At 35.0% G+C, this 24,636-nt stretch overlaps 1 protein-coding gene and 1 long non-coding RNA gene across 4 annotated transcripts, besides 1 other annotated feature; one reads left to right on the plus strand and one right to left on the minus strand.

The window, feature by feature from the left end:
- Positions 1–1,759: 1,759 nt before the first annotated feature.
- On the minus strand, positions 1,760–19,259 carry CETN3 (centrin 3). 3 transcript variants are annotated; one of them, NM_001297768.2, is made up of 6 exons: positions 19,148–19,259; positions 17,202–17,337; positions 15,188–15,302; positions 8,975–9,052; positions 5,996–6,067; positions 1,760–3,610 (listed from the first exon to the last, which is right to left on the minus strand). In NM_001297768.2, exons 1-6 carry the CDS (start codon positions 19,162–19,164, stop codon positions 3,567–3,569), a joined length of 462 nt encoding a protein of 153 aa, NP_001284697.1. In that variant the 5' UTR covers positions 19,165–19,259; the 3' UTR covers positions 1,760–3,566. The 3 variants fall into 3 exon arrangements, with proteins under 3 accessions (NP_001284697.1, NP_001284694.1, NP_004356.2); NM_001297765.2 differs by having other exon boundaries at positions 8,861–9,052; NM_004365.4 differs by lacking the exon at positions 5,996–6,067 and having other exon boundaries at positions 8,861–9,052.
- Positions 19,029–19,228: an enhancer, noted in NCBI's record as "active region_22777". NCBI's record gives its function as "activates an Ori minimal core promoter by ATAC-STARR-seq in GM12878 lymphoblastoid cells {active_cell/tissue: GM12878}" and the evidence as "EXISTENCE:reporter gene assay evidence [ECO:0000049][PMID:35858748]".
- On the plus strand, positions 19,503–20,172 carry LOC731157 (uncharacterized). The gene is made up of 2 exons (NR_105024.1): positions 19,503–19,807; positions 20,003–20,172. It is a non-coding gene; the product is annotated as an uncharacterized LOC731157 (long non-coding RNA).
- Positions 20,173–24,636: the final 4,464 nt, after the last annotated feature.

Below are 24,636 nucleotides of genomic sequence, written 5' to 3' on the forward strand. Positions count from 1 at the left end.
TTGTTAAGAAGATAGCATCAGTTATGAGTGGGCTCTAGAGTAAAACAGCTGGGGATCATATTCCAATTCAGTTACAACCTATTACCTCCAACATGTTATTTAAACCCTCCAAATGTTTGTAAAAGACAATCCTACAGTATCTACCCCAAAAGGTTATTAAGATTAAAATATGTAACTTCTCTAAAATAACAGTGGTTACTATTCCCAGAGATCAATCTTACGATTTGCCTAGGACAGTTCTGATTTACATCTGTTATCCCAGCTTAAATAATAGCTCCCCCCTACCCTCTAGCTCCTTCATTCTCAAAAGTAACCTGGTTCAGATAATAAAATACATAATCAGCTGTGCTAGTTATTGAACTACTTTTTTCCCCACAACTCCAAACCACTATTCTACACTCAAACTGTGTAATACTAGGGCTGGGACTGTGAAAACTACATTTCTCCTTTGCCACCTGAATTTTTGTTAGGCTCCACTAATAGCAGGACTAGAAGATAAAGACATAAAGGCAGGAGAGGGAAAGAATCTTGCTGTTTCCTGTTTGTTTGTAATTCCTGCCAGCATTCCCAGAGCAACAGCTCTTCATTCCAGTAGCGACACTTGGTTTGTCTCCAGCTTTTTCTCAGCATTCCCCGTACCAGCCTCATCATTCCCTAACTATACTACCACCACTTACCAGTGGCCCCTCCCCAAATGTCTGAGTCCCTGCTCTGCTGAAGCTCTCCCCAAAGTGTCTAGTAACCACAACCTCTAGCTCGGTCCCCTAGGCCTAGGGGTGGTAGCTGCCACCTGAAGTTATGTGTCCTTTCTGCTTTTGTTTTGGTTCTCCATTGTAACCTATTCCTTATATTACACTGTTAAAATTGTAATGTTACATACTACGGTTTTTTAAATTATTTTTTTCACATTGGTCATCAGAACATTGTAAACAATCTTTAAAAAACACATCGCCATTAAATCCCTAAGAGATTTTACTTCCAGTGACTAGCATCAAAGCTCACCAGGAAACCAGAGTAACAATGCACTAAGCAAGTTTAGTAGGTAACATAACTTTCTCACATCATGAAATGCCACTGCATGGTAAGTAGGATTATAAGGATAAATATGACGAATATCTTACCTCCCTCTTTTTACAAAAAAAATCACTCTTTTCTTCATACAGCCACCTCCACTAGTCAGTATTTTTTCCTTTCCACTCTACAGTTACTGATTATGAATACTAGAAGAAACAACAATAATTCATATCCTACTGTAAGGCAAGTCTTCCACAAACATGAAGAGCCCAGATGAGCACTCTTCTCTAACCCACAGTAAGAGAAGAAACAAATGTGTTAGTATCCCAAGAAGAAACTATGTATATTAACAAAAAAGACGGCCAGGCGGGGTGACTCATGCCTGTAATCCCAGCACTTTGGGAGGCTGAGGTGGGCGGATCACCTGAGGTCAAGAGTTCAAGATCAGCCTGGCCAACATGGTGAAACCCGACCTCTACTAAAAATACAAAAATTAGCTGGGCATGGTGGCAGGCGCCTGTAATCCCAGCTACCTGGGAGGCTGAGGCAGGACAATCGCTTGAACCCAGGAGGCGGAGGTTGCAGTGAGCCGAGATCATGTCACGGCACTCCAACCTGGGTGACAGAATGAGATTCTGACCCAAACAAAAAAAAAAAAAGAAAGAAAGAAAAAAGACAATATATCCGTAAAGTGGCAAAAAAATAGCTTCACTGTTCCAATAAAGTCACAGAAGACTCACAAAACTAGATTTACTTTTACTGTTTTATTTTTCACTTTCCTGGAAATCAATATATTTCATGATCAAGACAGAGGGAACTCATCAGTGTGCGACAAAAATTTTTTAATTTCAAGGTCTGTTGCCCTGAATATAATGACTGTGACCATTGAATTTGTATTCAAAATTAAGTTTTACTCTAGTTAACCTGCTGATATAGTTTGTATATCTGTCCCCACTCAAATATCATGTTGAATTGTAATCCCCAGTACTGGAGGTGAGGTCTGGTGGGAGGTGATTAGATGTCCTCACAATAGTGAGTTCTCATGAGATCTGGTGGTTTCAAAGTACTTGGCACTTCTCTCACTTGTTCACTCTGGTTTTCACCATGTGATGTGCCTGCTCCCCCTTTGCCTTCTACCATGACTGTAAGCTTCCTGAGGCCTCCCCAAAAGCAGAAGCACCATGCTTCCTGTAAAGCCTGCAGAACCGTAAGCCAATTAAGCTTCTTTTCTTTATAAAATATGCAGTCTTGGGTATTTCTTCGTAGCAATACAAGAATGACTTAATATACACTTGCTTCCTAGATAACTGTTTGAAATGTCACTACTGCTATAGTATTCCCTACTGATTTTGTGTTAAATTTCTAGTGGACAACCCTTAATGTAATACTCTTAAAAGGCTCACAACATTTAAAGCGCCTCAAATGATACTACACTTTAAACTTAAAAATTTAAAACAAGAATTCTAAAGAAAGATTGCTGAAATAGACAACTCAATTCCGTTCCTGGGAGAGCCCATAACACCGAGTACTAGATATGAGTGAAGGATCCATATAGGTACTATTTTTTTCTATGATCGATCTCCATAACCACTTGTTTCCCCCTAACATACACTTCTACAAGGCAGAAGAGCCCACCAGTACTTGGAAACTGTGTCTCTACTATTTCCTGGTGAATCACAGACTGTTCCTTCATATAGGTAAAACATAGACTTAAATTATTTCTGTGGCTTACAGTTTTCTATTTTCATCACTGTGACATGTAATTGAGTGATAATTACCTTAACAAATCAAAATTCCAAAATTTAAATCTCTCAGTCAAGAAGTTAGAAAATTCAAATTGTATTCATTCAATTTGTTTAAGGAAATATTCAGAAGAAAATTAACTTTCATACTTACAATGATACCAAGTTAAGAAACATAATACACAAGGATAAATGGGTCTATCTGCACAATACTTATTCCTTCTAAACTCAAAGACAGGACTCTTAAAAAAGGAATTAGGCTTATATTGAGTCAGCTTGTATTAAAATATAGAATGTCAAAATTGATGAAATGTTAGGTAATGGAAAAATGTGCCACTCTATTGCTAATTGTATTTCAATTTTTGTTTCAGAAACTAGTAAAATTATAAAGGGAAGATTTAAGAAATCCACTCTTGAGGGTTAACAGATACTAGGAATAAAAACAAATTTACCAAACTTTAAAATTCTAATAAAATAAATATTTTATTAACGAAAGTCTGGAAAATGTGTGCACTAAAAAGTGACTATAAATGTTAAATTAAAAAACCTTCAAAGAACACATATCACACATTCAATTTTTAAAACTTTATATAAAAGCTCTATTATAAATACAAAGCTAAACTATCTGAGTACTAACAACACAGTTCATACAAAGAAACTTAACAGTAGTAAAATACAGATATATAAGATGCTTATTTTTGGTCCTTTAGGATAAAAGAACTAAGTTGGTTTTTTTCACATGGCTCCAGGCACAAAAATAGAATATAAGATGGTAACTGCAACATTCTTAGTGTTTATCCTTGTAATTCTTTAAATGTCACCAGTCATAATAGCAATGAACTCCTCTTGGTTTACTGTGGTAAGAAAGAAAATGAAATAGTCAGAAATATAAACATTTTATTTTTTCAGAATCCACGACTACCATTTTACACTAAGTATTTAAAAAATTTTACATTATGCAAAATTATTACATTAAGACATGGCTTTTTGCTTTTACTTCTTTGTTAGGAAGTGGAACATGTTTATTAAATGTAACTTCTTGGATGCAAAAATACATATAATGTGATAAACATTACAAATTAGTATTCTATAATATTAACTGGGGAAAAGATAATGTTACCAAAAAAGTCAATCACAGTCATATTTGTACATACTTGCTAAAACATTTTAAATGCTTGACATTTCAAGGTTCTTTAAACAACCCTCTTTATAATCTTTATTCTACTAGTTCATTTAGCAAATCCTTCCTTTACAAGTAAGCTTGAACATATCATGCATGTAAATTAGATTTCTAAAGAATGAAAATATAATAAAATTATAAAAAGAAGTTAAATTATTATTTTTTGAACTTTTATATACTTAAAAGCCTATGTTAAAGAATAATTAAAACCAGGTCACCATACCTCAAAGGTATCAATAAAAATGGCAATTTGAAAAGATTACAGATGTAATCTTAATCACCAAAGTAATCCAGTAACTATATAGATGTAAAGGCAGAAAATAATCATGGATAAGGACTAATTTTTAGTTTGCCAAAATTATAAATATAGTAAGAATCTCCAATTTATAAAACATAATGTTTAAGACAGCAACCTAGAAATAAGAAATCAGATAATCTTATAGAATATAATTTTGAAAACCCGACATATGCGCACGTATCAATTAAGAAAAATGTTCAGAAGATACTTCTGGTAAGTATTTAGCATTTAGCCCTAAGACTTAATACATACCTAAACAATGCATAAATTATGAATGATAATTTTGATAATGCCAAAAGAAAACTACACTGAGACTTAAGACCTGGTCTCTAGTCACAGCTCTGCACAGAACAGCTCTGCATCTCATTTCCTTCATCTGAAAACACTGAACTATGAGATGATGTTTTAGATTGTTTAACTCTTATTTACCATAGAAGGTATTATATGAAAATACTCCATTGAATCAAACATTTTTAAGTGGCTAGTGAATGCCAACACCACAATAAGTGTTGCGTAATATATCAAAACAGACACCAGGCTTCCTATTCTGGAATACATTAAAACCGAAATGAGAAAGATATTATATGATATTATAAAATTATTGTTAACTTTCTTAAGTGTAACATTGGTATCATAGCTTTATGAAAGATATATCCTTGTTCTTAGTAGATGGATATGCTAAAATATTAAAGGATCAAGTTTTTGTTTTATTATTAAAATTTAATTAATTAATTAATTAATTTAGAGACCGGGTTATGAGACTGGCTAATCGTTGTATTTTTGGTAGAGATTAGGTTTCACCATGTTGCCAAGGCTGGTCTTGAACTCCTGGGCTCAAGCAATCCACCTGCCTCAGCCTCCCAAAGTGCTGGGATTACAGGCATGGGCCATGGTGCCTGGCCTAAAGACTGAGTTCTTGATATATGAAATTTATTTTCAAATGATTGAGAAAAAAATATACACACGACAGGTAAAGCAAATGCGGTAAAATACTAATTACTAAATCTAGGCAGAAGGTACAATGGTGTTCATTGTACTAGTCTGACAATTTTTCTGTTTGAGAATATTCATAATGAACAGTTAGAAAAAATTAACCAATTAAAAAATGTTGAGGAGATAAAACATGGTCATAGGGAATGAAAAGAATATATACTGCACTGGTTCTAGAAACCACATAGAAAACCGGTTTTGATAACTATGTTAGTCAGTTTTTATACTTGAAACAGAACAAATGTTTTATAACACAAAATACTATTTATTATTAAAACAAAGACCAAATCAGTGTTGAAAAAAAATCCTTCACAATGGTAAAAATTATTACTAATAAGAAAAATTTAGGTAAAGGTAAATCATTACTTGGGCTCTAAAATAAAAATACAGAATTTGGAAAGGAAGTAGAAAGAGAGCTGGGGTGGGAGAATACCATCAGAAATACAGTCAAAGAAAGAATAGTGTATGCCTCACAGAAATAAGCTATGAGTTAGGAAAAATGCACCCTCCAGAAGCTGACAGGGAACTATGAAGCCATGCAATCAGTATTTAACATCTACAAAACACTATGACAAACATGGTAAGAACGTAATACAAAATCTGTAATACTCCAAACTACTTTCAAGAATCTTACAAATTGATGTAGTGATCTTTAACCTTTGCAGTTAAATAGCCATGTCTGAATATCTTAGGAAAGCTATGATCCCTCTCTCTTTCCAATAAATACAGTTCAAATATATAAAATTATTAATCAGTTTAGCCAGTGTGCACCTTCACTGAAGAACTCCCGATTTAGACTGAGGCATCTAGACCAAATAGGAAGCAAGAGTATGTTCTTAAGAACTGTATTAAGAGAAAAAACATAAAACAGCCTTAGAATGATTTGATTACAAATCATTTTAACAGTGTAATACATCCATGATTAAAATATTCAAAATCCAAAAAGTACTTGTTACTTAAAGATCTAGAACTTTTTCTTGATCTGTAAAATTTCAATACTCAAACTGCAAATTTTAAGTTTCATATATAAGTTTGAAAACCACAAAACACTTAATTTTTATATTGTTTATATACAAAAACTTTAAACTATAATAGCATTTCAAAAGTATTTAAAATACGGTCAGCCTTCTGTAACCACAGGTTCCTCACATCTGCAGATTCAACCAACTGCAGATGAAAAATATTTGGGAAAATAACACAATAAAAAATAATACAAATAAAATAAAGTATAACAATTTACATAGCATTTACATTGTATTAGGTATTATAAGTAATCTAGAGATGATTTAACGTATACAAGAGGATATGTGAAAGTTATATGAAAATACTATGCCATTTTATACAAGGGACTTGAGCACCATAGATTCTGGCATCCTTAAGCGACTTGGAACCAATCCCCTGTGCTTATCAAGGGACAACTGAATTCCATGATTCATACCTAAAAACACACTACTTAAACCCAAGAAAGTAAAAATTAGAAAGTGGCTCAGGAAATTAAACTAGCTACTTTACTTTAATTGTCTTGTAGACAATTAAAAGACAATCTTCTATATCTCTGTGCATTTGATTTTATAACCTTCTCTATTAACAATATCTTATATCAAGTTCCTATATCTAATAAATCTACCACAATGCCTAGCTTAAAATAAGCTTTGGTAAAACATTTATTGAATCAAGAAAATATGACACTTTGTTTCCTTTTATACTGCCTTCTTTAACAAAATTTTTCATACATCAACCATTTCATAGAGCAAATCTTATTACAAGTTGCTAACAATAAGAATTTTACAGAACTAAGTAGATTAAGTACCTTAGAGACCATCTGGCTTTGAAGGGGAAAAGCAAATCTTAGAATTGGAAGTTCCAACTGAGTATGTTGCTAATACACTGCTTCCTATAATAGCATGTAATTTTTAAAACTCCATAAACATAGAAGTCTAGTTAATATTTTACTTCATAGCCCGAAAGGCAATACAATATTACGTTTAAAAGCACATTCTTTGCCATTTTGGAGATTTGATTTTGAGTTCTGGCTCTACCATGTACAGTATTAGCTTTGTGATAACCTGGGCAGATTAATAATCTCTCAAAGCTTTAGCTTCCTCATCTCTATATATGCATCTATTATACACATGTATAGGTATAATACTATATCTACTTTACAAGTTATTATGGAAATTAAGTGACATAATTAATGCTAATATCCAATATAGTAGCTGCTAAATAAATGTTAAAAAACATCATCATTATTTAAAAGATTATCCATTCTGGCTTTTCAAAACGTTCCTTTCATTTTTTCCAAAAGATGTGCTGTGTTTTATTTTATATATGCTGTTGAGGGGGCAGGGGGAAGTGACTCTTTCTGTATCATTACCACAGCTTTATGTCTATCTTGTAGTACATCTTATTTACCTTTAACTTCACATTCACCATGTTTATTATTCTATATACCCAATATTTTTAAAATTTCATTGCTCTTAGATACTGAAAAGCATGAAAAAGTCACAAAGAGAGAAGAACACTAAAGTCCACAAAAAAGACAGCAAGGTCTAATCTTTAGCAGTTTAACATACAAATAAAGTGGTTTTTATCTCAACAAAACTTAGTTTCCAGCCAAAAGATTCCATATTAAGTGTATGAAAGTATCAAAACAATTTGTTTCTCTAAATGCTATAGGCCTTCAATGGAAGTCTCATGATTCATAGAGCGTTATGGGAAGCTTTTGGGAAAAAGATGGTGTTTAATATTTACCTGAGAGAATGAATCACATTTTAGCAGGCAGAAATTAACAATTAGAGCATTCTAAGATTAAGAAACAGCAGGATGAAACGAATAGCATAAAAATGTGTTTTCAGGATAGCATATGTTGACAAAATGTGTACATACAGGAGGTGAGGGTTAAAGAAGAAAAGTGAAAGAATACACTGGAAAGTAAAATCAGTTACTCAAGGTGGGATAGATCATAGAAGGCTTTGAACTTTACTCTGTAGGCACTGAAGAATCGTTTCAAGTGTCTAAACACAGAAATGGCATTATCAAATGTATATTTTAGGAAAAGAATGATACCAAGAGACTGAAGAAGAGATTAGAGACTTTTATATGCCGAAAGGGCAATTAGGACACTACAAGAGACTGCAAAGTGAAAGCAAGAACCACATCTGCCTTTTTCATTGTGTAGCACCAGTCAACACGCAGGACACTGCACCCAGTAGGCAGCCAAGGCAAGAATAAATGAGGCCATTATAACATTCCTAACTAGAAATTAGGGCCTGAACTAGGACAGCCACAATGGACAAAGATAAAAACAGATTCAAAACATTTGAAGGGGAAAATCAATAGAACTTAGAACTTAGCATGTAGGTTGAGGGAGAAGCCATTAAAGACTGAAATTATATTGAAAGGCTGAAATTTTGGTGGTTTCACCTTCAGAGAAAAGTGAAGGACCTTCTTGAAGTATAATTGGTTTTAGAGATCTGCTTCATTCTAAATTGAATATGTGAATTATTTAGACAGAAGGTCCATTACAAGAAGCAGTTAAGTTTACAAAAAAGTCTTGCAAGTCATTTGGTTTTAGAAAAATGTATTACATGTGTAGCATCAGGAAAACCTGGAAAATACGTTTCACTTAAAACTTACTTTCTCCATCACCATCTTTGTCAAATTCTTCTATCATAGCTCGAAGTTCTTCATCACTCATGTTTTCACCCAATTCTCTAGCAACACGTCGCAAATTCCTCAAGCTTATTTTACCTGAATCATCATCATCAAATAGTTTAAATGCCTTGAGTATTTCTTCATGGGGATCTCTTTCCAATATCCAGTCTGTCACTACAGTTTAAAAACATATATATTTTAATAAACCTGCATAATCACAAAGGCATTCATTTGTGAAATCAACTAAATATTAGATGAGAATTAAAGCTGTGACTGTCAACTTTTAGTCTGACAATAAAATGTCAAATGAGATCCCCAAACCCCGAGATAAACCTGAAATTAGAAAAATCAAATCCATATTTTAAATGTTAACCTTTTTTATCATGAGCAACTTGTCTTATTATAAAAGTAAGCAAAACTATATCACACAGAGGCAAAATAAAAAGGACTACATTTATACCATATTTATTTAAGATCTACTATTATCAAGAATTGTACTAGGCTCCACTGACATCAAGCACACAAGGAGTGTGTCATCTACCTGTGGAGAGACATACCAACAAAATAATTGGAGCTAACTAAATAAAAGCTGCTTGCTGACTAAACGTCATACTAACACTGATTCTTCCTCAAATTTAATCCAACTTCAAAACAAGAAAAACTGCAAGAGACAAAAAGTACTGCCATCGCAGACACAGGCACAATCTCAGACAGCATTTGAAAATTCCACTAATACCTTTGTGATTAGAAGAACCTCTTGGTTTTCCAAAATTTACAAAGTAGTAAATAGGATCAAATCTGACTATAGCAGGAAAGCCCACCCAAAAAAAACCTCTGCAAAGAAGGTCTCCTTAAAGCTTACCCATTTTGTTTGGATAAATCACTCTCAGACAACTAACTAAAAATAAATGTAGTTTCAAACCTCAATGGTAATTGTGTATTTTAATACACTAAATATAATCACATGTAATAACATAGTAATAAGCTTAAGTATTTTCAATTTTACCAGTCTTTAATCAATAGCCACAATAAAAATTAAAATAAAAATCTATGGCATAAAAATTGGTAAGTTACTAAATAAAATTCTAACAGTATCTAAATAAGTATCTCTGAAGTAATTATATACACTATCTGCCACTACAAGAAAAGGTATTTATGGCCTTTACTATGCTATTAAAAATAACTCGGTCCTGTTGAAGGTTACAGAATCATTAAAAAAAAAAAAAAAAGCAACTGCTTATAGATGGAAAATACTGGAATGTTTAAGGAACCCAGAATGAAAAAAATACAATCGAAGTCTCCAACAAGCTGTTGTTTTGCTGCTGTTTCACCCGTATTTGGTTCAATAATCACCTATTCAAATGACTATTATATCATCTACACATATTTTCAATAGTTTCCTTTTATCCATTAATTTTATCCAAAAAGGCTTCCAAGTAACTAATTGAAGTATATTACTGTAAGTATGCAAATCATCAAAGCTCATAAATATTCAGTCAAAAAGAAGCTGGCATATCTACAGCCATAACACCAAAATAAAATACCACACTTAACTCTATGGCACATACTCAACTTATTTTGAATTTAGTCCCAACAAAAAAGCAGGACAAGGAAAAAAAGTGTTAAGAAATTTTCTTCACCAATTAAATAATTTACATGACAGGTGAACCAAAAAAGCAGCTTGCTGAAAGTATTAATGTACTTAAAGAAGCAACAGGGTGATTGGGGAACAGATGGGGCTCCAAGATGTATAAATTCTTATCCCACTGGTACTTTAATTGTGTTAGTTATTTCAGAGCTATGTGTCTATATATTCTTTTATCAATATTCTTCCTTAAAATGCAGCTTTTCTTGGGAATTATAAATGCTCATCATTTTGGACAGCAAAAACATTACCTAATATATAACTTTATAATGACTCTCCTCCATGCCTTCAGGTTCTATTCTTGTTCCACAAAGTAGAATTTAATTATAAGGAATATATTTATTTTCAATGAAAATATTAGTAAACTGATATAGAGGCAGTTAAGGTGGGTTTCATTTATTTCACAAAACTCCAAATTTCTGTCCATGCAACTGTATTTTCAAATGATTTAATTACACATACTATCAGAAATGTACTTCATCAAAATACTTTCTTAGACCTTTAATGTGTAAAAATCACTTAAGAATACGGCAAATCCAAAAACATCACATCAAAAGTAAATTAAAAATTATTATAGGTAATGCTAGAAATACAGCTTTAACTGTATTTCTCAATGTCTTTCGGAAATTTCTATCCAAACATACCAGTTAGACATGTTGGACTCCAAACTCATTCCACTACCACCATAGTAACTGCAGCTGCCTCCCCTACCCCAACCAAAAGATAACAGCAACATTTACAGCTAGATTCCATATTTGAAAAGCATAAATCATTTTCAGTCCCACAAACTTAATCAGGTCCTATAGTACTGAGAATACTGTTTTTTTTCTAATTTATTTATTGTTTTAAAACAAGGTCTCGCTCTGTTGCCCAGGCTGGAGTGCAATGGCGTGATCCCAGCTTACTGCAGCCTCAACTCCTGGGCTCAAGCAATCTTCCCACCTCAACCTCCAAAGTAGCTGGGACTACAGGCATGTGCCATCATGTCTGGCTAATTTTTTAAAATTTTTTTGTAGAGACAGGATCTCACTTTGTTGCCCCAGCTGGTCTCAAACTCCTGTGAGCGAGCAATCCTCCCGCCTTGACCTCCCAAAGTGCTGGGATTACAGGCATGAGCCACCAAGCCCAGCCTCTTTTTTATTCTTAAATGTATTTTCTTTTCACCCTCGCCATCCTCAGCGAAAAAAATAGTATTTTCTGTCTGCAGTCTCTCTTCCTTCCAACTCATCATCAATAATACTCTCATCAGTTTTCTTTCTCAAACATATCATATCCCCTTCCCTTAAAAATTGTGAATGATCTCTGCTGACTAGAATTCAAAATCTTCATGTTTTGCAAGACTTTACCAATCTGGCCCAATCCTATGTTTCCAGTCATTTCCCTATGTCTAGCCCAGAACACTACCTAGTTTCCCAAACATGCTATCCGTCTAGTACCATTCTTTGTTGTTGCTGCTTTCTAAGCCTAGAATGCTTTTTCTCTACTCTTCCTGGCAATCTTGGAATGAAATCTTACTCACATTTCCAAAGGCCTAAATTTAAAATCTCCTCTGCAAAGACTTCAATTCCTCTAGATCAGGGATTAACAAATCTTTCCTGTAAAAGGCCAATAGTAAATATTTTAGGCTTTGTAGAGGGCCATAAAGTCTCTAACTACTCACTCTGCCATAGTAGCACAAAAGCTGCATAAAAGAAGGGGTGTGGTGGTGTACAAGCAGCAGCTGAATTTGGTCCAAAGGCTATAGTTGCTGACTTCTGTCCTAGACAAAATTACAATTTACCACATAGTACTATAGCCTGTTGTCACCTATATTTACATTGTAAACTCCCTGAAAGAAGAACCTTTTAGTAACTTTTAATTAAGTCTTCTTCCCAACCCCAGTACAGTACCTAATACCAAAAAATTCAGTGTTAAATAAGCAAAATGAAGACAATAATACAGTATTACAATCTCAATCAGCAATAATAAGTAGTACATGTCAAAAATAGTGTACAAACGTTTGACTTATGTTAGTCTTAAAGACACTAATTCCTAAAATATCTATGTTACTCACTAGCCTCAGGCTGTCTTGACTCTAAACTTAAATTAAATATATTTTAAAGCTTTTTTCCAGTACTAGGAAGAGTCTATAATAGTTAACTGCCAAACTTCATCCAGATATATCTGTGGAACAGTGTCCTTGGGTAGTTCATAAAACTAGGACTCAAATGTTATGATTTAGAATCATCTGTCCCAAAGTATAAAACATATTAATCTGTGGTCAGTGATTAGTTAAAAATAATCAACAAAAGGGGTAATACATAGTTCCTGAATGATTCCCAAACAGTAATACATTTTTATTTGACACCTGGTACTCTCCATAGGTAGCCTTAAGATAGCTAAGATACATGTTGACCCTGTCAAAAGGTTAATCTTTTAGTGTCAAAGCTGAAGTTTAGCCACATCTATTTATTCTAGAAGGAACCCAGTATTTCTGCTCTGTTAATAACATAGAACAGATGGGGTGTCAGGAAAAAGTGGAGGTGGCATGGGATTCTGGTCCCAACTGCCAATAAAAATCACAATTTTTGGCCGGGCGCGGTGGCTCACGCCTGTAATCCCAGCACTTTGGGAGGCCGAGGCGGGCGGATCACGAGGTCAGGAGATCGAGACCATCCCGGCTAAAACGGTGAAACCCCGTCTCTACTAAAAATACAAAAAATTAGCCGGGCGTAGTGGCGGGCGCCTGTAGTCCCAGCTACTTGGGAGGCTGAGGCAGGAGAATGGCGTGAACCCGGGAGGCGGAGCTTGCAGTGAGCCGAGATCCCGCCACTGCACTCCAGCCTGGGCGACAGAGCGAGACTCTGTCTCAAAAGAAAAAAAAAAAAAAAAAAAAAAAAATCACAATTTTTAAATTGTGTTCATTTAAGGTGAAATAACATATTTTGTAAAATTATTAGTGATGATACAGTGCTTACAATAGCCTTTATGAAAAAAGTCAATAAAAAATATACACAAAGTCTATTTTATGTCCCAGTGATGCATATATGATTATTTCGAGCCCCTGAAACAAAGACAATTTTTTAAAGTAATAATAATAGCAAATGCTTAGTAGCACTTACAACATGCTAGGCCCTTTTCTAGGTACTTCACATATCATTAACTTAATCCTTAGAAGAATCTCATGAGAGAATACAATGATCCCCACTTTATAGTTGAAAATGAGGCATGGGGTATTAAAAAGACCAAGTTCCAGAGCTGTAAAGTGGCAAAACCAAGGTATGAACCAAGGGAATCTGGTTCCAAGTGCTAAACCACTATACTGTACTAAACATACCTGGATTATAGCTCCTTCCTAATAGTACCATTTCCACTATATACAAACACCTTGTTTCTACAAATAAACAATCTAAGGTAAAACTAGGAATACTACGATCATAAACTTCAGGAGAGTGTCCATTCTGGGAGAACAAAAGGTGGCTCTCTCCCTTTCCTCAAATAATTAATTCTACAAATTAGAGGAAAAAAGGAAAATGTCCCCAATGGACAAGTTGCCTCTCTAAACAGTCATATATTAGTTCATAAGTTGAGGATCTTCTGTGCTGTGTTTTTTTTCTCTTAGGTTCATCATTTATTTTCCATCTCAACTGCTTATGACTTGAGCTTTTGGATTTAAAAAACTGACTAATGACATGAATCTAAATTTTCTCTGCGTCTACTAATTGCCATTTCTTTTTGCTTCCCCTATTGCTTCTTGATTAATATTTAAAATAAGGGGTTTGTGTATATAGCAGAATTTGTTTCCAAATTTTTAAAATATCTTAAAATACTTATATGATGTGCTTATATCGTGACCCATTGGTTTAGAGAAAAAAAAAAAAAGAAATAAACCTGAATATTTACATATTTTGTAGATAATATTCTAGACAATACATTTAAGTTATAATAGCAACATCCTTGCCTTCCGGACTCTTCTATTTTGAAAAAGCCTGGTCTATATATGCTATAAATAATTCACTAAAATCAACTATAAAAAAATTTAGCCATATTAAGCCTATGACACATTATCTTCAGTTGGTGGTACTAGGATGTTTTCTCCTGCTTCCAGTATGCCCACTGCCTCCTTTACTACTACCCTCTAAACAGATGACTTTATCCACTGAGATCAAGGTCATCCAGAGGATGTAGCCTCTCATAAACTTTGTCAACCTGAAGTCGTGCATTTCATCTACAGCCAAAGATACCAACTACTACCAGTTCCCTCTTCTCCCACTTAGCCAACAAAAATCACATACCAGAAAGGTCTTGGGAAACATTTTCCAAACAGCAGGATATCAAATTTTCTGTTTTATTAAGCAAAAATAATTTTTTGATCACCCTTCAAGTTTTATCACATAATATAAATACAAACAACTTGGAAAAGCATCTTTCTATAAAAAGCTACACAATAGTTCCTTGGTTAGAATCTTCACAACAAAACAAAAGACAAAACTATAAATCTCAGAGCAAAGCCATATTTTTTCTTTGAAAAAAAAACCAACAAAACAAAACTGAGTAAGAGTCACATTATACACCAGTGTTCTATAAGAAAATTCCATAACCTAGAGAATTTAAAATTTAAAAAGTGATATTAATCAGACAATTTCCTAACAGCTGCTGATTACAAAGACTATTAAAATACACACCAACTTCATTAAAATCTTCAAAGGTGATTTTCCCTGTGGCTTCTCTGTCATAATCTTTAAGAATCTTCAGTACATCAGCTTTTTTTACATCAAACCCCAAGGCTCTCATTGCCACCTTTTGGATTAAAAAGGAAAAGCAAATTATAAAGCACTCTTTACAAAAGAATTTCTAATTATTAAGTTTTTACATCTTAAGAGATGACAACACATTAATAAAATATAACTTTTTTGCATGTTTTACCTCTTTAAAATAGCAGTGATAGTGTAATTGTTCTTCACTACTGAAATTAAGTATGCATAAGTTTTTTCATTTATAAATTGCATTTTTTATATGACAAAGTAACCAACAAGTGTTTACAGATTTTACTATATAAAATGCACTAACTTATTGCACAGATAATTTGATTGTTATTTGTTCTGAAGGGATTAACAATCAAAATGAGAAAAAGGCGTGGCATAAATATTAAACAGTTACATGATAGAAGAGATAAAACATTAAAACAAGAATTATCATCAGTCTTTCCATGATTAGTTACCAGGTAAATGATAGGGCTAAGGACCCTGAGTTTAGAGAAAAAAGAGATTTTGTTACTAATAATAAGGAAGGAGACATATTACTGACTAGAGAAGTCTTATTTGGAAAGATTCAAACTGTTCCTTGAAGGATAGATGAAGAGGAGCAGTAGGGTATTTGGGAAGGATGACTGGTATTAAAAGAAACACTGAAACGAATAGGTTCGAAGGACAATGAACAGAGCAGTTTACCTCACCTGAATTAGAAAAGTTCAGGTGAGGTAAACTGCTCACCTGAATTAGGAGGTGAATTCCACCTTAATTAGAAGAGTTCAGGAGGAAGAAAGCAGTTAGCAAATGAAAAAAGTAGTTGGTGGCAAAAGTGTAGAGAACATTCAGTAGAAAGCAAAGGAATCTGAACTTTAAGTAGTATACAATGAGGAGTTATGGTTTATGAGCAATGAACAATTTATGAGCAATGGTGAAAGAATTTTTAAACTATCTAAATTCAGTGGTAGTGTACAAGGTGAACTAGTAAGAAATCATTTAGGAAGCTCCAGGTATGAAATAAGGTCCCAAACCAAGATAGTCAATGGTTACAAATGGAACAGACATTATAAAGGAAGATCAAATCTGGGTAACCAAAAAAAAAAAAAAACAAAAAAAACAGTGGGAAAAGAGAGCCAAAGAGGACTGCAAGATTGAGAAAGCTAGACTTAGCAGGCCTATTAACTGCTTTTATACATTCTATCCTGTCACTGCATAGTTCCTATCCCTACTTGGAATTCTAATGCTTAAAAATCCCTTACGAAATTACAAAAATTAAAACTACCAAATAAACACTTACATTCACCTATCCATTAAGGCCATTAAAAATCTCAAAATACTATCTTTCCCACTGTGCTGAAAGTAAGTCCCATTCTACCCTAAACCCAAATCTCTCCTTATACCCTGACAAATAATAATTTACAAATCTCTCCCTACACTTTGACATTCTAGGTCTTAAAGCTGACATTTTTACCTATTAGCATGTGTCAACATCAAACAGCACTAAAGTTGTTTGCACCAGAGAAAGTGGATTGAGACTATGTTACTAACAAATCCAAATTATAAGATTAAAAGACAACACTCCCACAGTCTGAAAACAGTATGAGTCACCAAGAAACAAAAACAAAAACAAAAAACAGTGAAAAGAAGATGGTAAGAATAAATTCCAGTTTGAAATCCTTTAATTATGACAGTGAAAAATAAGCACCTTCCCTGGGAATGTATTTTTACATTTAAAATACTATTCGTTTTCTCATGTGAAAAAGATTTTCTAAAAACTATGTTAGGAGTTCTCTTCAGTTTTATTACAGCATCTAACTATGAATGCTTAAAATGCCTTCATAGTTCCAAAACCAATTTAGTTAAAATAATTATTTAGAAATGTAATGTAAAGCAACTGTAAAAATGCAAATCATTTTAACACAGAAACAAATATTTTAAAGTATACCATTACCTTTAATTCATGATAATCTATTGCTTCATCTTTGTCTGTATCAAATAGTTCAAAAGCATCTTTAATTTCTTGTTTCTGTTCCTCAGACAGTTCTCTTCTTTTTTTCCTCTTTGTTTTGTCCACTACAAGCTCACTTCTATGAAATGGAAAGAAAAAGCCCTTAGTCCACTTTAATTCTCTTTACTAACAGAAATTAGCCAATAATTACCTTCTAAATTTCAAAAAAGAAAGTACTTTGGAGAAAGATAGGGAAACTTTCCCTTTATGAGTCAATGACCTGTTTATTCCATAGTCTAAATTGCTATAAATCTGAACTTCGCAAAACTAAAGAGTGTTACAGATTATTAAAAGAAATGAGGACCAAACTTTTCTTTTTCCCAGCTTTTTATTTATTCCCACTAATGTTACTGTGGAAGAAACAAGAACTGTGAATAAGCAACACTACTTTTATGTCTGAAACTCCAACCAACTCCAACCAAAAAAACAAAAACACGTTATCCTACAAGAATGTTAAAGAATTTAAAAAAAATCTCCAAATGAAACCAAAATTCATAACTGACAATCACTATATATCGGTTTACTGTTGATAGTTCTGATAATTATGTTCATAAAATTACAAAAAAAAAGTGAATTAACTTATACAGTATTTTAGCACTGTTGGTTCAAAATGTTTTTAGATTACACGTTTTTAACAGTTTGGCAATTTATGTGTCATTTCCTCCATTGATATTAACAAACCATCGAAAATATTAATGAGTCTAAACATATGACAAATATTAGATGCCAATATACAATGTTTGTGCTTCATTCTATATAAAAATGTGATGAGTCTTGTCTCATTTAACATGTAAACCGGAGGTTAACTTCTCATAAACTCTGGAAACGCTTAAAGAAAAAAAGCAAAAATTATTTTAAAGCCAGAAATGTTTTCCTTAAGAGCTGCCCATCTAAATGTGCTCCAAATTTTCAAATGGAGCCGCAACACTGGAATAACGAGTTTTGAAACACAATCCGGTAACACATTAACATGTCAAACCAGTTGACTGTACTTAAAACACCTATCTAGTTGCATTTGAAAGTCGTTTTGGTCTCTGAAAGCTCCAAAAAAAAAAAAAAAAAGCTAGGAAGTGACTAGTAGGTGCAGTATAACAAAGCTGAGGAAGATCTTCCTTTCATGAGACCTGACTTGACACAAACTTGGGTATTCCTGGGGTCAGTCTTTTCCTTCCTGAGACTTTTGGAGGCCAAGTCCAGAACCGACCCACCCCTGACCCCATCCAAGGGTACCATGATTATCCCTTAGCAGAACATGGAATATTTTCGGAGTGTCGTAAGTGTATGGATAGTTTTACGGTACAACGTCTACATAGTGGGAGAGGGCAACAGAGGGTTAGAGGTTAGAACTGAAAGGTAAAAAAATGCAAGAAATTTAGGAAATCCAAGAGACAGACTGCCAATTAAAGTCACTAAAATGGGTCTCCAATTACACCGTAAAGCAGGGCCCTGGGAGAAGAGGAAAGAGTTTTTGTTATTTCCAAAATTTATAGGTGGGTGATTGCATTAGCAGCGGAGCAGCCGAGGTGGGGCCCTGACCAGGCACACGGATGAATGAAGGGATGTCCGCGACCTGATCTGAGAAACAAGAGTAGAAGCCTCGCGATATTTCATTCCCACCTCGCTCGCAACTAAGCCCAACCTTCTGGCAGTCCAAAGCCCTACGCGCTGACAGAAATAACCTCCTTAGCAGAAATGCACTGGTCTCGTTCCCTGCAGGGCATCAGAGCCCAGAGGGTGAGTGATCCGGGCAGGCTGCCCTAGGCTCCTTTCCCGCGTCCCAAACTACATCCCCTGCCTCGCCTCGGCCCCAAACGTCCTCCCTTCCACACACACCCTCCCTGGGCCCCGCTCCGGGGTGTGGAGAGCACTGCCGCCTCCTTATTACCGACCTCAGAGCTAAACTCATTATCTCTTCGCACAGAGACGTTCCTCTCAAGAACGATTTTAACCCCCTACCCAAGGCAGCAAGACGCCCACAGCCGTTCAACAGACACGAACGACCTCAGCGGCCTCAGGGACCTCCCACAACATAGACACTTTTGAGCTGGATTGGTTGAAATGTCGCTATGGTTCTGCCTATTAGGGGGCGGAAGCTTTACCAGTTCTATTTTCATTGGGTAGGTTTTACGTCAATCAAGGAAAAAAAAATTTTTTTTCTGTGCCCCGCCCACCTCCTAACGCCCCCCCGCCCCCCCAATCTAGGGCCGCTCTCGCCCTTCGGATTGGCTCGATGCGTTTTTCCCCGAATCCTTTGCGGGTCCGGCCTCCGATCCCTGTGTGGCTGTTTGGCGGGTGGGCGCTGTGTTCCTCTCTCGTAAAGCCGTGCGGTCTGTGGGCCGCCATTCAGAAACTGGATGGACAGCTTCGGCGGTGGGAAGGGAAGGGACATGCTGCAGGCCACCCTCCGGCTAGAAGGAGGGAGTACTTGAGGAACAAGGTCTGCGAAAATTGGCTGTGCTCTGTTCTAAAACTTGGAATGGCCTCAGTACCTGGGGAATGTGTTTAAAATGCAGACTTAAATGTCCGTTTCTCCATTCTAATTTCAGTAGGTATGAATCTGCGTTTTTACTCCTCACAAGCCTTCCAAGTGATTCTGAGGCAGGTGCTGTGGCTGTACTTGGATTATCACAGGGTTAGATTATCAGGCTATTTATGATTTAGCTGTATCTAAACCACCTTTCCCTCTCTTTCCTCCTTTGAACTGTTTGAAACGGATTTGTTCCCTTCTGTCTCTTATTTTTCAGTGCTGTAAGCTGTTAACACACATGAGACTGTCTTCACTACCAAACCAAGTCTCCTAAAGCTCACTTGAATGTCTGCTTATTCGTGTCTCTTACTAGGTTCAATTTCTTGGAGGCCGTGATTATATCTATTTAACGCTTTTCCTTGTACCTAATAAAATGTCTGGTGCGTAGGTGCTCGGTAAATTGAGTGGAATCTTTTGAAAATCCACAAAATACTGAGCTAAACAGCAAATCTCATAAACGTGAATAAAATAGCCTGAGGATGGGAGTTGAAGGCGGAGAATATATAAACATTATATGTTTAAGGGATGTATATAAAATTTTAGAGAAGGGAGAGAACACAAGATATGCTTCTTAAAGGAGGTGACATAAACGTTAGACCTAGAAGGATGGGCTAAATTTGCACAAGGAAAGATAGTATGATAGAATAAGCTAAAAATTAGCTAAGGGATAGCACCCCTAAAAAACAAAAGTGGAACTTTTATTTTGTTCGTATTTTAAATTTTAAAGTACCTTTATAAATCACCTTTGAGTCTAAAAGGAAAGAGAAATTGTAGTTACTAGAACATAATGATATTGAAAAAAACTATATGTTAAAATTTTAAGATACAGACCAAGTTATAGGAGAACATTATTTTAAATAAGAAAGAATAAAAATAGGCCAAGCATTTATTTGAAGATGTTAGAAACGAAGAACAAATTGTATAATTGAAATTAGGAAGAGGAAATTAGTAAAGATAAAGTTTGAGAACAGTGTTTTAAAAGGAAATTGGTAAAATTGATAAAGTACTCATAATCTAGTATAAAGCTGGTTTTTGGCAATACCAGTGAAATTCAAAGACTTATAGGAAGTGTAACAAGAAAAGGAATAGTGCCACTAGTAAGGTTGGTAATTTAATAAAAGGGAGGTTTAAAAATTATTAAAATATTTTATACAATTTTATACCGCCAATAAATATTAATAGAAAATGAAATAGTCACTTTTCAAGGAAAACATAACTCAAAAAAGGTGGAAAACTGAATTAAGTCAATAACTACAGACAGGACTGGAACAAAGATGCCAAAGTTCTGTACTCACAAATAAAAAGCCTCCAGCCCACTCAGATTTATGATTAAAAATCATAAGAGCTAAATCTTGTGCTTTAAACTCAAGTCATAGAAAATGATGGAGAGCTTCTTAGCTTAATTTTTGAAGCTGCCATAATCTTTCACATCCTAAAAGAACATTTAAAGTCACTCAGTGTAAGCTCAGTGATGATGAAGGCTATGCATGTTTCTCACCATTGTATCCCCAGTGCCTGACTCATGTTTGATGTTCATTTGTGAACTTAAGTGCAAAATTCCTAGATGTTAGCAAAGTCAGTTTGATACTGTCTTAAAGGAACATTTCTCTATAACTAAATTGAGTTTTTTTTTGTTAAGTGCAAAGATAATTCAAAATATAAATCTGTGTTAAATAATTATAATGTTAGGTTAAGGAAATCATCTCAGTGTCAAAAAGGCACTGAATAATAGGTAACACCTTTTCTATTAGGATATAAAGTGGGTTTAGAAAATACTTTTTTAAATATGATCGGCAGAATACTTAAACACCAGTGTTTCTCAAACCTCATTCCTGAAACACTAGGATTTTGTGAGATGCTTTTGGTCTCAGAGTGCGTTTTATAAGCAAATAATTTGGGCAAACAGATTTTAAAAGGTTTTCAATAGGGTGTCCTTTTAAGAGAGTGACAGGGAATTTACACGCATCACTTTTATTATATTTAATTAGTGAGAACTAGTGACAACCACTTCTTGCTTCACGGGAGGTTGAGGCAAGAAATCTCTAGATGGAAAACTGCTCTGCTGAAACTTGGGGTCTAATCATCTATTACTAAAGATAAGACAGGTGGTTACACTAATTATATTTTAAACCTAAATTTGATGCAATCAAAATTCTCATATTTTTCTTGAATTGAACAAAGGTATTCCAAAGACCATCTCAACAACAATTCTATAAAAATAACTTACTAAACTGTGAAAAAGAATAATAATACAAAAATTGCTGTATGGGACACTAAAATGTATTTGGTACAATGGTAATCAGACCAGAAATTCCAGAGACAGCCAAATGTAAATAAAAATGTCTGCTTTGAAAAGGTAGTGACATAAATATTTGTTTAGTCTGCCTCCTAAAGCCTTAATAAATCAAGAGTTCCTCTATCACCCACGCTGGAGTGCAGTGGCATAACTCACTGTAACCTCAAACTCCTGGGCTCAAAGGATCCTCCCGCCTCAGCTCCTGAAAAGTTAGGACTACAGAAGCATGCCACCATGCTCAGCTAATTTTTTTTAAATTTTACACTGTGTTGCTGTGTTGCCCAGGCTGGTCTAGAACTCCTGGTCTCAAGTGACCCTCCAGCCTCAGGCTCCCAGAGTGTTGAGATTACAGGAATTAGCTCCCATGCCTAGCCAATAAATTAATTTCTAAAGCTGAAGTGACCTGGAGAGGGACCATCAGCAGACTAGGTATTTAAAAAATTATTGGAAAGATCAAAAGAAATATGGAAACTTGTTGACAAATGAAACAGATCACTGAAGTGGCATCCTATAATTTTCCAGAGATGACTTATGTTTCACAGAGAGTTGATCTACCTAGCAAAGTCCCAGAGAGACTCCAGGAATAGAGTTCCCTTGTACAGTAGAAGGTGGAAATGAGAAGGGGGCTAAAAACAAAATGTCAATTTAAAACCTCTTTAGGAAACCACTGTACTTCAGTTCCTCCAGATTCCTCTCCCCAGTGTTTTGTCTCTTTACATCTATCTAGAACTCCACTCTTTTTTTTTTCCTTTTTTTAGAGACGGGGGTTCTCTCTGTTGCCCAGGCTGGAGGGCAATGACATGGCCTTAGATCATAGCTCACTGCAACCTCAACCTCCTGGGCTCAAGCAACCTCCCACCTTGCGCCTTGGCCTCCTGAAGTGCTGGGATTACAAACGTGAGCTACGGCACGTGGCCTGAGTCTTTAAAATGAATGAAGAATGAAAAACCATCAGAGATATGAAAATCAACAGCATGAAAGATAAAACTAAAAACCATTTCAGGAAGACTCTGAGTCAGCTAAGGAACCAAAATAAAATAATAAGAAATTAATAATAATAAGCTGCCTAAGAAGTACTCAAGAAAATATTAGAGAACAGAATACTCTGAAAAAGGAGCATTGGAGAATAAGAAAAGACTGTTGAAAATAAACATGAATGTAAAAATTAAACTGGCAAGATGATTTAATTGAAAAAATATCACAAAACTTGCAGTATTCAAACAAAAACATGGAGAATTTTGAGAAAAAAATGGAGGACTAATTCATTATTTGACTAATAAGAATTTCTGAAAGAGAGAACAAGAGGAGGAGGAGAAAAATATCACACATTGAAAAGATACTTCGAGGAACTGAAGATAAATACAGGTCTCCAAATTGATAGAACACATTTAGTACTGAGCAAAATAATAGTAAAAGAACCACACCTAGACACATAAAGAAGCCATTTCAGAGCATCAAAAATAAAGAAAAAGGCCTAAAAGCTTCCAGTCACAAGAATCTGACCTTTTATAAAAGAATTTAAGAATTGAGCTAGTATCAGATTTCTCATCAGAAACTTTAGATACCGAAAGATAATACCTTCAAAATTGTAAGTGAAAATTATTTTGAACTTAGAATTCTATTTCCTGTCAGAACAAAACTCAATTATGAGTACATAATAAAGATTTCAGAAAGTTCAATTATCATATACTCTTTCTGAAATATGTACTCCAGAAAAGTAAGAATGAAATCCAAAAATAAGATAGATGTAAAATACAAGAGTGTGGCAGATAGAATGACCCATCGAAGATGTCCATGTCCTAATCCTTGAAATTTGTTAATGTTACACTGCATGGAAAAAGGAACTTTGTAAGTGTAATTAAGGTTATTAACCTTAAAATAGGGAGTTTATCCTGGATTATCCAGTGGGCTCAGTCTAATCATGTGAGTCCTAAAAATCAGAGAACTTCTTCCACTTAGAGGCAGAAAAAATGAAGCAGGAGAGGTTAGAGAGATTTAAAGTATAAGAACTCTGGCCGGGCATGATAACTCATGCCTGTAATCCCATCACCTTGAGAGGCCGAGGCAGGTGGATCACCTGAGGTCAGGAGTTTGAAACCAGCCTGGCCAACACGAAACCCTGTCTCTACTAAAAATCCAAAAATTAGCCAGGCATGGTGGCACATGCCTGTAGTCCCACCTGCTCAGGAGGCTGAGGCGGGAGAATTGCTTGAACCCGGGAGATGGAGGTTGCAGTGAGCCAAGATTGCGCCATTGCACTCTCCAGCATGGGCAACAGAGTGAGACTCTGGCTCAAATAAATAAGTAGGTAAATAAATAAACCAAGTATAAGAACTCAATCCACAATTATAGGCTGAAATGAAATGAGATCATGAGTCAAAAGAATGAAGGCTGCTTCTAAAAGTTGAGATGACCCCAGCCAACAGCCAGCAAGAAATTGAGGACCTCAATTCTACAAAAGTACGGAACTGAATTCTGTCAACAACCTGAATAAGCTGGAAGTAGATTCACCCCGCAAAGCCTCCTGAAAGAAGCTCAGCCCTGTTGACACCTTG

The sequence above is a fragment of the Homo sapiens genome, chromosome 5 (genome assembly GCF_000001405.40).
Source record: "Homo sapiens chromosome 5, GRCh38.p14 Primary Assembly".
Lineage (NCBI taxonomy): Eukaryota > Metazoa > Chordata > Mammalia > Primates > Hominidae > Homo > Homo sapiens.